Source organism: Homo sapiens, chromosome 12, assembly GCF_000001405.40.
Source record: "Homo sapiens chromosome 12, GRCh38.p14 Primary Assembly".
Classification (NCBI taxonomy): domain Eukaryota; kingdom Metazoa; phylum Chordata; class Mammalia; order Primates; family Hominidae; genus Homo; species Homo sapiens.
This window is the reverse complement of record NC_000012.12, coordinates 110,689,511-110,704,745: the sequence shown is the minus strand read 5'-3', so window position 1 is coordinate 110,704,745 and position 15,235 is coordinate 110,689,511. Positions and strand designations below refer to the sequence as shown.

The window sequence follows — 15,235 nt, the reverse complement described above, 5'->3', positions numbered from 1 at the left end:
TACAGTGACAGTGCTTTAGCTACTACCCCTGCATTTGTTTACCTGGGGAGGTGTGTTCTATTTTTGTTTTTTAACTTTATTCTTTTTAGAGGCAGGGTCTCACTCTGATGCCCAGGCTATAGTGCAGTGGCACAATCATAGTTCACGGCAGCTTCCAACTCCTGGCCTCAAGTGATCCTCCCGTCTCAGCCTCTCAAGTAGCTGGGACCACAGGCACGCACTACCACACCTGGCTAATTTTTTTTTTTTTTAATTATTGGTAGAGACAGGGTCTTGCTATGTTGCCCCAGGCTGGTCTCAAACTCCTGGGCTTAAGCAATCTGCCCGCATCAGCCTCCCAAAGTGTTGTGATTACAGGCGTGAGCCACCATGCCTGGCCCACACTATTTTTTGTATACACTTCTACATTTCTATTTAAGTGAGTATATTAACCTATACTAAATAATAAATCTTGGGGATTATTCTGTATTATGTGTACATATTGCTACCTTCTTCTTAAGAGCCACACAATATTCCTTTGTATGGCTTTACCATCATTTATTTAACCACCCCCCATGGACGGACTTTTAGGTTGTTTGCCCTTGTTTGCTACTATAAATCATGCCAGAGGGAATATCCTGGCCCATACTTAGGCGTACACATGTTCAACTTAGGTGATCTCTGTTGGATAAATTTCATGCAGTCAAATTGTCAATCAAACTGGAGAGGTCCCAAAAAATTTTTAATAAGAGAAACAATACATTTTAAAAAAGAGAAAAATAGGCCAGGCGTGATGACTCACACCTGTAATCCCAGTACTTTGGGAGGCCGAGGTGGGCAGATCACATGAGGCTAGGAGTTCGAGAGAAGCCTGGCCAACATAGTGAAACCCCATCTCTACTAAAAATACAAAAATTAGCCAGGCATGGTGGCGCACGCCTATAATCCCAGCTACTTGGGAGGCTGAGACACGAGAATCGCTTGAACCTGGGAGGCAGAGGTTGCAGTGAGCCGAGATCATGCCATTGCACTCCAGCCTAGGCGATGAGGTGAAACTCTGTCTCAAAAAAAAAAGAGAGAGGCGGGGGGAAATAAATAAATAAACAAAGTGGGGCGGTCGTTTTTATTTGTTTTAACTCTGAAAAAGAATCAAATATATACACAAGTAGAAGAGTACTTCTGAAGCCCCACATACCTATCATTCAGCCTTAGCAGGCATCAAGTTGGAGCCAAATTTGTTTCATCTCCACGGCACTCGCCCAATATGGTTATTTTGAAGTCTTAGATACCATTTTATGTATAAATATTTCTGCTTGGATCGCCACAAGATGATTTTTTAAATTTTTTTTAATTTTTAATTTTTTTTCCTTTTTTTTTAGAGTCAGGATCTCACTCTGTCTTCTAAGCTGGAGGGCAGTGGTGGGATCACAGCTCATTGCAGCCTCAACCCTCAGGGCTCAGGCAATCCTCCCACCTCAGCCTCTCAAGTAGCTGGGACTACAAGCATGCACCAGAGCACATCCAGCTAATTTTTAATTTTTTTTTTTTTTTTTTTTTTTGGTAGAGACATGACCTTACTATGTTGCCCAGGCTGGTCTCAAACTCCCGGGCTCAAATGATCCTCCCAAAGCGCTGGGAGCCACTGCACCAAGCCTTGCATTTTTTAAAATAGTTTACTGGGCCTGGTGCGGTGGCTCACACCTGTAATCCCAGAACTTTGGGAGGCCAAGGCAGGAGGATCACTTGAGGTCAGGAGTTCAAGACCAGCCTAGCCAACATGGTGAAACCCTGACTCTACTAAAAATACAAAAATTGCTGGGCATGGTGACTCATGCCTGTAATCCCAGCACTTTGGGAGGCCGAGGCGGGCAGATCACCTGAGGTCAGGAGTTCGAGACCAGGCTGACCAACATGGAGAAACCATATTTCTACTAAAAATACAAAATTAGCTGGGCATGGTTGCACATGCCTGTAATCCCAGCTACTCGGGAGGCTGAGGCAGGAGAATCACTTGAACCCGGGAGGTGGAGGTTGCAGTGAGCCAAGATTGTGCCATTGCACTCCAGCCTGGGCAACAAGAGCAAAACTCCATCTCAAAAAAAAAAAAAATACAAAAATTAGCCAGGCATGGTGGCGCACACCTGTAATCCCAGCTACTTGGGAGGCTGAGGCAGGAGAATTGCTTGAACCCGGGAGGCAGCAGTTGCAGTGAGCCAAGATCATGCCACTGCACTCCAGCCTGAGTGACAGAGCAAGACTCTGTCTCAAAAATAATAATAATAATAATAAATTAAATAGTTTATTGTATTGTCTTGCCCTCCTGTTTTCCAAAGAGAACGCTGCCTACCTCACCCCAACGGCATTTGAAAGTAGACTGGCTCATCTGAAATGCTTATTTGCAAGCATCTAACTTCCTGACCCTGTGTCACAGATGGCCCCACTTGGCCCCAAGCCCCTGGTAAGTACCTGCGTGCTCACCAAAGGTTGACTCAGGGCCACATACACCAGGCCCAGACCAGAAGGGGTGGGGGAGCCGCGCTGATCTAGAACCAGAAACCAGGGCCATTTTGATGCCAAGACTTCCTCAGTCTTGGTTTCTTCTGTCTTCTTCTAGATCATTACTTTGTATTTACAAGCATATATGTGTGCCTGTGATGTGTTAGACCAAGTTTTAGTCACTTGTAGCCCCAGCTACTGGGGAGGCTGAGGCAAGAGAATCACTTGAACCCGGGAGGCGAGGTTGCAGTGAGCTAAGATCGTGCCATTGCACTCCAGCCTGGGCAACAAGAGTGAAACTCCGTCTCAAAAAAAAAAGAAAAAAGAAAAGCTACCGGGACCTGTGTGTGTTTTGTTGTTGTTGTTGTTGTTGTTGTTGTTGTTGTTTTGTTCTTGTTGTTTTGTTTTGTTTTTGAGACAGAGTCTCATTCTGTCGCCCAGGCTGGAGTGCAATGGCACGATCTCAGCTCACTGCAACCTTCGCCTCCCAGGTTCCAGTGATTCTCCTGCCTCAGCCTCCCCAGTAGCTGGAGCTACAGGCGTGCACCACCATGCCCAGCTACTTTTTATATTTTTAGTAGAGATGGGGTTTCACCATGTTGACCAGGCTGGTCTTGAACTCCTGACCCCAAGTGATCTGCCTACCTTGGCCTCCCAAAGTGCTGGGATTACAGGCGTGAGCCACCTCGCCCAGCTCAGGGACCTGTTTTAATATCCAAGTTGGTGGCAGGCTCTGAGCTAGATTGGATCCCAGGTCACCTAATTCAGCCACTGGTTCTCAAATTGGGTGCCCTGAAGATCTCCTGGAGTGCTAGACAAAATGCAGAGTCCTGGGCCTCACTGCCCAAGATTCTGATTTGGAAGTTGGGGCCCAAGAATGTGCATTTTCATCAAGTTTAGTATCAGAGTGATGCTGGTATTGTTTTTTTGTGGCCTGCACTTGGAAAAACACTGCTCTAGGCCCTAGTAGTTTTATAAAACACACAGGTGTTCCCCAGCTCCCTCTAGATGGTGATAAAAACAGGCTGGAGCGCTCTACCTCCATTAGTCAGCGCTCTTCAGGTGAAAGTGACAGAAACAAACTGGCCGTAGCGCAGAGGGAATCTGCTGGCTTGTACAACTAACATGTCCAGGGTAGCACTGGGCGCAGCTGGATACAAGGCCTCAGTGAGACCAGATGCGGCCTCTGTTTCTCCATCCTGTGGCCCTGCTCTCTGCTCTGTGTTGGTCTAACTTCCAGGCGGGCCTTCCCCATGTGATGCCCCATGGGGCTGGGCCCATCCATCCTTGCAAATAGTAGTCCCAGCTGAGACTTCTCCACTAAGAGTTCCAGCTGGAGTTCCACTCTTGAGCCCCACTAGCCTGGTTAGGTCAGCCTCTCAAACCACCTGGACTGAAATTATCGGACAGTCGATGGTACCAGAAGAAGGGCAAGAGATGCCGAGCAGGGAAAAACAGAAGACAGCAGTCACACTCTCTGAGGGAAAACTCCAATTATAAATATCTCCAAGTAGACCGGGTGTGGTGGCTCATGCCTGTAATCCCAGCACTTTGGGAGGCTGAGGCGGGAGGATCACTTGAGCCCAGGAGGTCAAGGCTGCAGTGAGCCATAATCGCATCACTGCACTCCAGCCTGGACAACAGAGTGAGACCCTGTCAAACAAAAAAAGAGAGAGAGAGATCGAAATATTCCCAAGTACAATGAGTTGCCTCACAGAAAGTGAACTCCCCATTGCTGGAGATAGTCAGGCAGTGGCCCAGAAATGCCACCCCGAGATAAGCGGTTTTCTTCAAAAGATACTCACTCTTCTACAACTTGGCTGCTTCGATGTCCTTTCTCCCCTTTTCCTAGCCCAGGAGACCCAGCTTAAACGCCACTGCCCCAAAGGCCTCCTCTGGCTCCCTGCGATTTTGCTGTCCTCTGTGTGATTCAGAGTTTAAGTCCCATTGGAGTCCTACCCTGCCGCTTCATGGCTGGGCGACAAGGACAAACAGCTTCACTTCTCTGAGCCTTGTCTTTCTTATCTGTACCATAACTGGCAGGTTCCCAAAGATCTCTTCTCCACTTCTTCAACAATCGCAGACTTTTTAGCTTAGCATGTGGTGCCCTAAATAAAGGCCACAATTCCTGTCTCCTTTGTTCATGGGACTAAGTGCTGCCCACGGGCTGGGAGCAGCAGTGTCGTGTGGCCACTCTGGGCAATTCCTCGGAGAGGTGGCCGGCACGTGTCTATGGTCCCAATCTTGTTCGCCCCCTCCTGGGTCCTCCTGCCTGAAATGCAGATGCTGCCCTCTTGGACCAGGAGGAAGAAGGCCCTTAGGCCTGGCAGAGCGGGGGGTCCCTGCCACCTTGTGGAACGGAGGCAACTTACAGCCCTGGACTTCATGCCTCCAGCCTGTGGCATGAGAAATAGCGCTGGCTTGTTTAAGCCACTGATATTTAGGACTTTCTACTGCGCAGAACATAATCCTAACTCATCGGAGGGCCTACCTCATGGCCATTGTGAAGACTAGAAGAAGAGATGTGTATCATGTGCCCGGCGCAGCGCCTGGCACACGGCCAGGAGAGGAGGGGCAGCGGCGCTGTTATCTCCCCGTTATCATCATCACTGGCCATTTCACTCTTCAGCCTCACATTCGATCTGGCTGTTCTCGGCTCTGCCTCCCGCACTTCGAGTGTGTCCCTTACCAGAAAGGACCTCGTCTTCTCTGTCTCTCCCTCAGCTCCTGGACTGGGCTCCTAGGCTGCAGACAACAAAACCAGTTCAGGCTGACTGGAGCAAACAGGAGACGGCTGGAAGGCAGTGGGGCCCCCATAGAATGACGGAGGCCTAGAAACCCTGGCTTGGGTGGGGGGCCTGGGAGCTTCTCTGCTGCAGGAGCCCACCCCAACAGGAGTGCATGTGGCCATTCGCCATGGCTCTGTCTCTCTCCCATTGGCTCCCGTTCCAGGCCCACCCCTTGGCAGGAAGAGGGGGATGCCTGGATGAGCAGTTCCACCAGGGACCCAGCGAGTGTGCCGAGAACACGAAATGTGCCCTGGGCTGCAGCCAAGACCCAGCAAAGCCCAGCAAAGCCCAGCAAATCCCAGCAAAGGTCAAGTCTGGCCAAGTCTGTAAGTGTTTTGTTTGTTTGCTTGTTTTGAGATGGAGTCTCACTCTGTTGCTCAGGCTGGAGTGCAGTGGAGCAATCTCAGCTCACTGCAACCTCCACCTCCCGGGTTCACGTGATTCTTCTGCCTCAGCCTCCCGACTGGCTGGGATTACAGATGCACACCACCATGCCCGGCTAATTTTTGTATTTTTAGTAGAGATGGGGTTTTGCCATGTTGGCCAGGTTGGTCTCGAACTCCTGGCCTCAAGTGATCTGCCCACCTTGGCCTCCCAAAGCGTTGGGATTACAGGCGTGAGCCACCGTGCCCGGCTGGCTGTGTGTTCTTGACAGTAAGCACCAGACTCCCTGACCCAACAATGAGTAAACAGGTCCACTCCTCTCAAAAACGGAAGGAGGGAAGCGGGGGCTGCCCAGGGCCAGTGGACGGAGTGACTCAGCACTGGGCCTTGTCCAGAGGAAGGAGACGCAGGAGGAGGAAACTCCTGGAAGTCCCTGCAGACAGTGCTCGGGTCCCCCTGGCCAGAGCATTTGATGATCACATGACCTCTGCTGCAACAGGTAACTGCAAGGGGTGCGAGGGAGTTCAATGTAGACTCCGGTGGTGGAGAAGCCAGGAGTCCTCCCACCTCGGCTCTGCTCCAGTGCTGCAGCGGCTGCGGAAGCCTCTAGTTGGCCTGGAGGGCGGAACCGAGGTGTGGAGAGCACTTTCCACTAGCAACCAGCAGGTGGAACAAGGAGATGCTGCTAAACCCTTGAGTGTAAGGCTCTGCTCACTAAAGTGAGTTAGAGCATATTTCTAGTGTCTTCTGCCTCCATCTTCCCAATGTTAAGTCTCACCGACTTCAACAGACAGGAAAGGCTGGGCATAGAGGCTCACGCCTGTAATCCCAACACTTTAGGAGGCCAAGACGGGAGGATCGCTTGAAGCTAGGAGTTCAAGACCAGCCTGGGCAACATAGTGAGACCCTGACTCAACAAAAAAATAATAATACAAAGCAGACAAGAAAGATCCTAAAGGACTGGAGAACTTGACCCACGAACAGTAGCAGCACCCCCTCTGTCTCTGCGGGCAGAGAAGGAGCCCACTGAGAATCCTGTATTGGGAGCCAGGTTCATGTTCTAGCTCTGCCTCTTACCAGCTGTGTGGCCTTGTGAATAATTCTCTGAGTCTCAGCCTTAGCTGTGAAATGGAGACAAGATGCTTAACGGCCAGACACAGTGGCTTATGCCTGTAATCCCAGCACTTTGGGAGGCCGAGGTGGGCAGATCACGAGGTCAGGAGTTCGAGACCAGTCTAGCCAATATGGTGAAACCCCATCTCTACTAAAAATACAAAAATTAGCCAGGCGTGGTGGTGTGCACCTGTAATCCCAGGTACTAGGCAGGGCTGAGGCAGGAGAATCGCTTGAACCTGGGAGACGGAGGTTGCAGTGAGCTGAGATCGTGCCACCGCACTGCAGCCTGGGCGACATAGCAAGACTCCATCTCAAAAAAAAAAAAAAAAAAAGATGCTTCGCGCTGTGAGTGGCATATAGTAAGAACTGAATCAATGGGTGTTCTTGCATTCCAGGTGCTATGCTAGTCTTGGGGGGACTCCAGTGTGGGCCCCTCCAGCTGTCCTCCCATTTCTCTGCTCCCTTCAAGTGCTTTTGTATCTCCTTTCCACTCTCTCCCTCTCTGCGCTGTTCACCCTATCAGTTTCCATCTGACACCACTTATTCCTTCCTCTTCCTCAAAACGCTCCTCTTTTGGTTTCCAGGATCCCACACACCCTTGGTTTTTCCTTCTACCTCTTGGCTACTCTTTCTGTCTCCTTTGCAGCCTCTTCCTCACCTGCCCAGGCCCTAGCTTGGTCCTGAACCCCTTTGTCAACACTCTGGAAGGGGATCACAGCCCAGGCCTTGTTGTCAATACCAGTTGTGCACTGATGACGCCCAAGCCTCTCTGCCAAATTCCTGACTCAGATCCTACTGCCCAGGTGACACCTCCACTTTGACAATTCAAATAAAACATTATCAAAAATGGGGACATCCTCCACCTGGCCCCCTCCCAGGCTTCTCTGCTTGATGGAGGGCACCACAGTGCACTCCGGTGCTCTGCCCCTTCCTCTCCCCTACATGTCCATGCCACCCACAGTTCCCCCCTGTCTTTTCTGTCTCCCACATGGATCTGGAATCATGCCCCTTTTTCCTTCCCTACTCCCAACCGACTTGTCCAAGCCATCCTTATCTCTCCTCTACACTTCCATTTTTATCTTCCCTATAATCTAATCCCAGATTTATCTGGTTTATTATATAAACCAGAGTTATCTTTTTTAATCAAACCATATCAGTGGATGGAAGGATAAGCAACATGTGGTAGACCCATATAGTGGAATATTCTTTGGCCATAAAAGGAATGAAGGACCATGCTACAACATGGATGACGCTTGAAAACATTGTGCTCAATGAATGACACCAGACGCAAAAGACCATATATGATGATATTCCATTTAAAGCAGGCAAATCCATGGAGACAGAAAGTAGACTAGCAGGTTCTTAGGGCTGGAGGGAGACAGGAATGGGAGGAACTGCTTCATGGGTACAGGGTTTCCTTTTTTTTTTTCTTAGAGATGGGGTCTTGCTATGTTGCCCAGGCTGGTCTCCACCTCCTGGGCTCAAGCAATCCTCCTGCCTCAGCCTCCAAAGTGATTGGGATTCCAGGTGCATGCCACTATGTACGGGGCCTTTGACAGTGTTTCCTTTTGAGATAATGAAAAGGTTCTGGAACTAGATAGCAGTGCAGCTTGCACAACATTGTGAATGTACTAAATGCCACCAGCCGTATGCTTGATAATGGGTAAAATGGTAACGTTTATGTTATGTGTATTTTACTACATTTTTTGTAAAAAATCAAATGGTCCTGGCCGGGCACAGTGGCTCACACCTGTAATCCCAGCATTTTGGGAGGTCAAGGTGGGCAGATCACCTGAGGTCAGGAGTTCGAGACCTGCCTGGGCAACATGACAAAACCCCATCTCAACTGAAAAAAAAAAAAATTAGCTGAGCATGGTGGCGGGCTCCTGTAATCCCAGCTACTCAGGAGGCTGAGGCAGGAGAATCGCTTGAACCTGGGAGGCAGAGGTTGCAGTGAGCTGAGATCGCGCCATTGCACTCCAGCCTGGGCGACAAGAATGAAACTCCATCTCAAAAAAAAAAAAAAAAATCAAACGATCCCTCCCCTGCTTAGAACTCCCATGGCTTCCTGTGCTCCACATGGACTCCAGCCCCTTCTGTGGGCCTCCGGCCTCCTCCCCAGCCTTACTTCTTATGACTCTCTTCACCCTCCTCTGTGCATCCACAATCTTGGCCTCCTTTTGGCCTCATAAGGCCAAGCTCTTCCCACCTCAGGCCCTTCGCACATGCTGTTCTCTCTTCTGAAAAGGTTGTCCCTCTCTCTTCATAGCTGCTTCTACTTCAGCTTTCAGTGTCCGTTTAAATGTCACCTCCTCAGAGACCCCTTCCCTGCTGTCCTGCCTCAGTGGATCTGCATCTCAGTCTCCACCTTTTGTTATCTCCACCACAACCCCCAGCTCATTCCTTTGCAATACTTCATTGTTTTCAAGACAGGGTCCCACTCTGTCACCCAGGCTGGAGTGCAGTGGCGTGATCACATCTCACTGCAGCCTTGACCTCCCAGACTCAAGCAATCCTCTGGCCTCAGCCTCCTGAGTAGCTGGGAATACAGGCATGCACCACCACACCTGGCTAGGTCATGTGTGTGTGTGTGTGTGTGTGTGTGTGTGTACACAAAATAAACAAAATATATGTAATTATACAATTATAATTATACAATTATAATTATAGAAATGTTTATATATAAGTGTGTGTGTGTGTATATATATGTGTGTGTGTGTATATACATATATGTATGTAGAGACAGAGTCTCACTATGTTTCCCAGGCTGGTTTTGAACTCCTGGCCTCAAGTGATCTGCCTGCTTCAACCTCCCAAAGTGCTGGGATTGCAGGCGTGAGCCCCCGCACCCAGCCCCCTTTTCAATGCTTATCACTTTGTAATTTGTCGTTTAGTATTTGTGTGCCTCCCTATATAGACTAAGTTTAATGAGGGCAGGCAGGACCTGCCTGTCTTACTCAACTCTGTGTTCTCTGCCTAGCACATAGTTGGCACTCAGAAACTCTTTGCTGAATTGATGACAGATCACCCAGCGGGCAAGGGAAACCATTGAGGCAGGATTTACACCCAGGCCTCTTTGATGCAATGCCTGTGTTCTTCCTACTCTTCTGTGTGACTCTGAACTGTGAGGCAGAAGGCTGAGCCGAGTGCCAGAGAAGAGAGTTGGAGGTGACCGTGCCCTTTTCACATAGCTGCGTCATCAGGCATCGGTGCCCAGGCCTTGTGCAGATCCCGTCGTGTGGCCGTCACTGCTGTAGATAAATCTTATCTGCTGGGAAAGGCACCTCTGGGCCTAAACAACAGATGTCACTCTAAGAAATCCCAGCAGAACCCCCACCCTGTCTCTGGCTGAGAACTCATCTACTTTTCTCTCCCTCTGTCCATTTTCTCACACTCTACCAGAGCCAGGACAGGGCTTTTGCCCTAGGAAGGGAAGTGGTCAACTGTAGCCGTTGATAACTGCCTTGGAGGAACCAAAACCAGCAGAGGCAGCCCTCTCTCTTCCCGCTGGGGAAAGCCAGAGCTGGCCACTGCCCTGGCCCGGCCCCAGCTGTCCTGGAGCCCAGGGATGGCCCAGTCCCCCAGGGCTGTACTCAGATCTTCCTCAAAATGCTCCATGTGGCCAGGCGCGGTGGCTCATGCCTAGAATCCCAGCACTTTGAGAGACCAAGGCGGGAGGATCCCTTGAGCCTAGGAGCTTGAGACTAGCCTAGGCAACATAGTGAGACCCTGTCTCCACAAAAAAATAAAAATTAGCCAGGTGTGGTGATGCATGCCTGTGGTCCCAGGTACCCAGGAGGCTAAGATGGGAGGATAGTTTGAGTCCAGGTGGTCAAGGCCGAAGTGGGTAGTGATTGCACCACTGCACTCCAGCCTGGGTGACAGAGCAAGACCCCATCCCTAAATAAGTAAGTACACGCTCCATGAACATCAAAAGGCAGGACACCCAGAAAATTCAAGCAAGCTGGGCTCACTGCTTGGTAAGAAATGCGGAGGACCGGGGGTGGGGCAAGGACTGCCTTGTGTAAGAGAACTGCTTTGGTATTGCCCAAACCGGAACAAGTCCTTCATCTAACGCAGTTCCTAATCTTTTTGTAATCTGGGGCCTTTGACATCTGGGGAAGCTTCTGGACCTCTTCCAAGAGTAATGTTTTTCAATGCATAAAACAGAACGAATGCATCGTATTACAAATGATGCCAGCTATCTTGCATTGAAGTTTTGAATTTTTTTTTACTTGTAATAAATAGATGGAGTTCTTATAGTACACATTAAACTATAAGAACAGCTGGCTCAGTAACTACTATAATTTTGAAGTAATGATACATATAAGTTATATTTTGAGATATCTCCAATAACTATACTGTGGTTTAAAAACATCTGTGATTTTGACTGATGACAAAGTTAGTGGGTTTTTTTTTCCGTTTTTTTTTTCTTTTGAGATGGAGTTTCACTCTTGTTGCCCAGGCTGGAGTGCAGTGGCGTGATCTCAGTTCACTGCAACCTCCACCTCCCGGGTTCAAGCGATTCTTCTGCCTCAGCTTCCCAAGTAGCTGGGATTACAGGCATGCGCTACCACACCCGGCTAATTTTGTATTTTTTAGTAGAGACAGGGTTTCACCATGTTGGCCAGGCTGGTCTTAAACTCCTGACCTCAGGTGATCCACCGGCCTCAGCCTCCCAAAGTGCTGGGATTACAGGCATGAGCCACCGCGCCTGGCCAGTTAGTGACGTTTGTAATGCAACTGTAATTTGTTACCTACATTCATAATTGAAGGAAATATTAAATTTCAGTTAAAGGCCAGTGGCTCATGTCTATTATCCCAATTTAAAAAAAAAAATTTGGGGAGGCTGAGGCCGGAGGATTGCTTGAAGCCAGGAGTTTGAGACCAGCCTGGGAAACAAAGCAAGACCCCATCTCTACAAAAAATAAAAATAAATAAATAATAAATTAGCTGGGTACAGTAGCATGTGCCTGTAGTCCCAGCTACTTGGGAGGCTGAGACAGGGGTATCACTTGAGCCTGGGAGTTTGAGGCTGCAGTGAGCTGTGCTCGAGCCACTGCATTCCAGCCTGAGCAACAAAGTGAGACCCTGTCTCTAAACAAACAAACAAAGTAATAATACGTTTCAGTTAGAGGTTAATGAAAATAAAGAATTTTTTTCCCACCCAAGTTAATAGACCTCCTGGATTCTTTCTGTGGACCTCAGCTTACTCTTCCCTAAGTTGTTTTGTTTTTGTTTTTGTTTTTGTTTTTTAAGAGACAGGGTCTTGCTCTGTCACCCAGGCTGGAGTGCTGTGGTGCAATCGTAGCTCACTGCAGCCTCGAACTCCTGGGCTCAAGGGATTCTCCCACCTCAGCCTCCTGAGTAGCTGGGACTACAGGGGCACACCACCATGCCCAGCTAATTTTTTAAAACATTTTTTATAGAAATGGGGTACTGTTCTGTCACCAAGGCTCATCTTGAACTCCTGGGCTCAAGCAGTCCTCCCGCCTCAGCCTCCCAAAGTGCTCAGACTACAGGTGTGAGCCACCATGCCCGGCCTTCTCCTTTAAGTATTGTTGGCCTCACTTTCCCAACTAAAATGGGAGCTCACTAAGAACAAAGGCTGTTCCTTCATCTTATACTTAGTACCTTGAAAGGGCCTACCACACAGTAGGTGGTCACGTGTTAGTCTGTTAGGTCTTTTGGATTTTCTAGGTAGACAATCACATCGATTGCAAATAATAGTCTTTCTCTTTTCAGTCTTTGTATTTCTTTTTTCTTGTTTTATTGCATTGACTGAGCTCATCAGTGAAATGTTGAATAGTAGCAATGATGGAGGGCACCCCAATCTTATTATGCTCAATACTCATTAATTTATGCAATAGGAATGTAAAGTACCTACTGCAGGTCAAATCCTGTGCCTGGGGATAACAGTGTAACACATTTGAGATCTTTTCCTGTCCACTGAAATGCCTGAGCAGTAGCAGTATTTCAGTAAACACGACAATGCTGAGAATATCACCAAATTCTCCAGACTTGCTGAAGTGTTCCTTTGGGATCCTGGTTCCCAAAAAGTATGGACATAGGTCCCTGCTGGTGGCCCCAGGTTCCAGGCCATCAGTAAGGTTGGGGGCTGCAGACTGGACCACTGCACCGTGGAGCAGAGGCAAGTACCCAGGGAGAAGACTGAGCGATGCCTCTGTAGGGGAAGGGATGGGGGAAGGTAGCCAGGGGATCAAGCCAGGCCAGGGTTTGAGCCTTGCCTTGCCTTAGCAGGGTCTGTTGAGGTCACCACCTGTCTGCACTAAGGGTCTAACTACAGGCAAGACCAGATGTTAAGACAGAGGGCTGCAACTTCCAGGTGTGCAACTAGGGGACGGGGTACTTGTTCCCTTTTCCCTTCCTCAACCAGAGGGGAGTGAACACAGAGGAGGGGCTGTTGGGAGCAGTCCCCACATCCTCTCCACTCTGTCTAGCTGGCCCTGGGGGAGGAGGAGAATTTTTAATAAAATATAAGGAAGTTGAAGTTGAAAATGGACCAGACTATGCCTTAGAAACTGGCATGGGGCTGTTGTAATAATACATGACTGAGAAGTCAGGAGATCTGACCAAAATGTTTTTAAGAAAGCCTTCTGGCCAGACGCGGTGGCTCACGCCTGTAATCCCAGCACTTTGGGAGGCCGAGGAGGACGGAGCACGAGGTCAGGAGATCGAGACCATCCTGGTTAACACGGTGAAACCCCGTCTCTACTAAAAATACAAAACATTTAACCGAGCGTGGTGGCGGGCGCCTGTAGTCCCAGCTACTCAGGAGGCTGGGGCAGGAGAATGGCATGAACCTGGGAGGCGGAGCTTGCAGTGAGCCGAGGTCGCGCCACTGCACTCCAGCCTGGGTGACAGAGCGCGACTCCACCTCAAAAAGAAAAAAGAAAGCCTGCTGCAGTCCAGGCATGGTGTTTCACGCCTGTAATCCCAGCACTTTGGGAGGCCGAGGCAGGCGGATCACTTGAGGTCAGAAGTTCGAGACCAGCCTGACCAGCATGGAGAAACCCTGTCTCTACTAAAAAAACAAAAATTAGCCAGGCGTGGTGGCAGGCACCTGTAATCCCAGCTACTCAGGAAGCTGAGGCAGGAGAATTGCTTGAACTCAGGAGGCAGAGGTTGCACTGAGCCAAGATCATGCCATTGCACCCCAGCCTGGGCCACAGAGTGAGACTGTTGCCGGGTGGAGTGGCTCACACCTGTAATCCCAGCACCTTCGGAGGCCAAGGCAGGCAGATCACTTGAGGTCAGGAGTTCGAGACCAGTCTGACCCACATGGTAAAACCCCGTCTCTACTAAAAATACAAAAATTAGTCAGGCATGGTGATGCTGGCCTGTAATCATAGCTACTCGGGAGGCTTGAGGCAGGAGAATTGCTTGAACCCAGGAGGCGGAGGTTGCAGTAAGCCAAGATCGCACCACTGCACTCCAGGCTGGACGACAGTGAGACTCCGTTCCAAAAAAAAGAAAAAAGAAAAGAAAGCCAGCTGCCCAGCAGAATTGGGGAAAGCCGAGTCAGTTGAAGCAGACAATACCCCTATGGGAGGCAGAAGAATGCACCCCCCTACCAAGATATCCACATCCTAACCCCTCCAAACCTGTATGTTGCCTTAAGTGGCAAAGGGGACTTTGCACATGTGGCTATGTGAAGGATCCTGAGCTGGAGAGATTAGCCTGGATTATCCAGGTGGATCCCATATAATCACAGGGCTCCTTAGAAGGGAGAAGACGCTGTGACCATGGAGGCAGAGGTCGGATTGAGACAGCCAAGGATCACAGGCACCTCTCCAGCCGGGAAAAGCAAGGAACACACTACCCTGGCGCCTCCAGAAGGCACAGCCCCACCCACACCTTGATTCTGGCCCTGTAGGACCCATCTGAGACTTCTGGCCTCCAGGGCTGTAAGATAACACATTTGTGTTAAGCCACTAGGTTTGTGGTGATCTGTTAACAGCGGCATGAGGAAACTAACACAACCCCAAGGAGGTGAGCCTCTCCCCACAGCCCCGACTCAACCGGAAGGGAGAGGTGTGCAGAAGACGGCTTTGCAGGATGTTTGGGACAAATGGTCTCTGGGGGAAGACAGAAGCTAACAGAACTGATTCGACTGTGTGAACAGGGTGCTGGGAGGGCCCACAGGGGAGGGACTTCAGAGCTGGGCCTGCGCCTGCGGGGCCGTACGAGTTGGCCCGGAGCAAGGCGGCCCAGGACAGGCAGGGGCTGCACGCGGTAAGGCTCCCTCTTGCCAGTACCATCCCATGAGCAGCCTCAGAGCCCTCGACCAAGGGAAGTTCTGAGGGCTGAGAGGTTGCTCATTCGTCAGAGCGTGCTGCCCACCCTCCACCCCTGCATGGCAGAAACTGTGCAGGGGACGAGGCCAAGGAATCAGGAGACCCAGAGGCAGGGGTGGCCCGGAGACGGTGGGATGGAGCAGAAGCTCCCCG

General features: G+C 49.9%; 1 protein-coding gene across 10 annotated transcripts in view, besides 5 other annotated features; it reads left to right on the top strand.

Annotated features, from left to right (window-relative positions):
• HVCN1 (hydrogen voltage gated channel 1) overlaps window positions 1–15,235 on the top strand; it is a 56,267-nt gene that overhangs the window by 207 nt on the left and 40,825 nt on the right. For 3 of the 10 annotated variants that reach the window (NM_001256413.2, NM_001040107.2, XM_011538839.3), the window contains exon 1: window positions 14,969–15,020. The gene's annotated coding sequence lies outside the window, so the exon portion shown is untranslated. Of the gene's footprint in view, window positions 1–2,312; window positions 2,438–5,446; window positions 5,591–6,027; window positions 6,148–14,968; window positions 15,212–15,235 lie in introns of those variants that run through there. The other 7 variants (XM_024449225.2, XM_011538842.3, XM_005253948.3 and 4 more) reach the window with 5 other exon arrangements.
• Window positions 5,907–5,966: an enhancer, noted in NCBI's record as "active region_7026". NCBI's record gives its function as "activates an Ori minimal core promoter by ATAC-STARR-seq in GM12878 lymphoblastoid cells {active_cell/tissue: GM12878}" and the evidence as "EXISTENCE:reporter gene assay evidence [ECO:0000049][PMID:35858748]".
• Window positions 6,237–6,386: a silencer, noted in NCBI's record as "silent region_4861". NCBI's record gives its function as "represses an Ori minimal core promoter by ATAC-STARR-seq in GM12878 lymphoblastoid cells {active_cell/tissue: GM12878}" and the evidence as "EXISTENCE:reporter gene assay evidence [ECO:0000049][PMID:35858748]".
• Window positions 13,911–14,060: an enhancer, noted in NCBI's record as "active region_7025". NCBI's record gives its function as "activates an Ori minimal core promoter by ATAC-STARR-seq in GM12878 lymphoblastoid cells {active_cell/tissue: GM12878}" and the evidence as "EXISTENCE:reporter gene assay evidence [ECO:0000049][PMID:35858748]".
• Window positions 14,591–14,700: an enhancer, noted in NCBI's record as "active region_7024". NCBI's record gives its function as "activates an Ori minimal core promoter by ATAC-STARR-seq in GM12878 lymphoblastoid cells {active_cell/tissue: GM12878}" and the evidence as "EXISTENCE:reporter gene assay evidence [ECO:0000049][PMID:35858748]".
• Window positions 14,821–14,870: an enhancer, noted in NCBI's record as "active region_7023". NCBI's record gives its function as "activates an Ori minimal core promoter by ATAC-STARR-seq in GM12878 lymphoblastoid cells {active_cell/tissue: GM12878}" and the evidence as "EXISTENCE:reporter gene assay evidence [ECO:0000049][PMID:35858748]".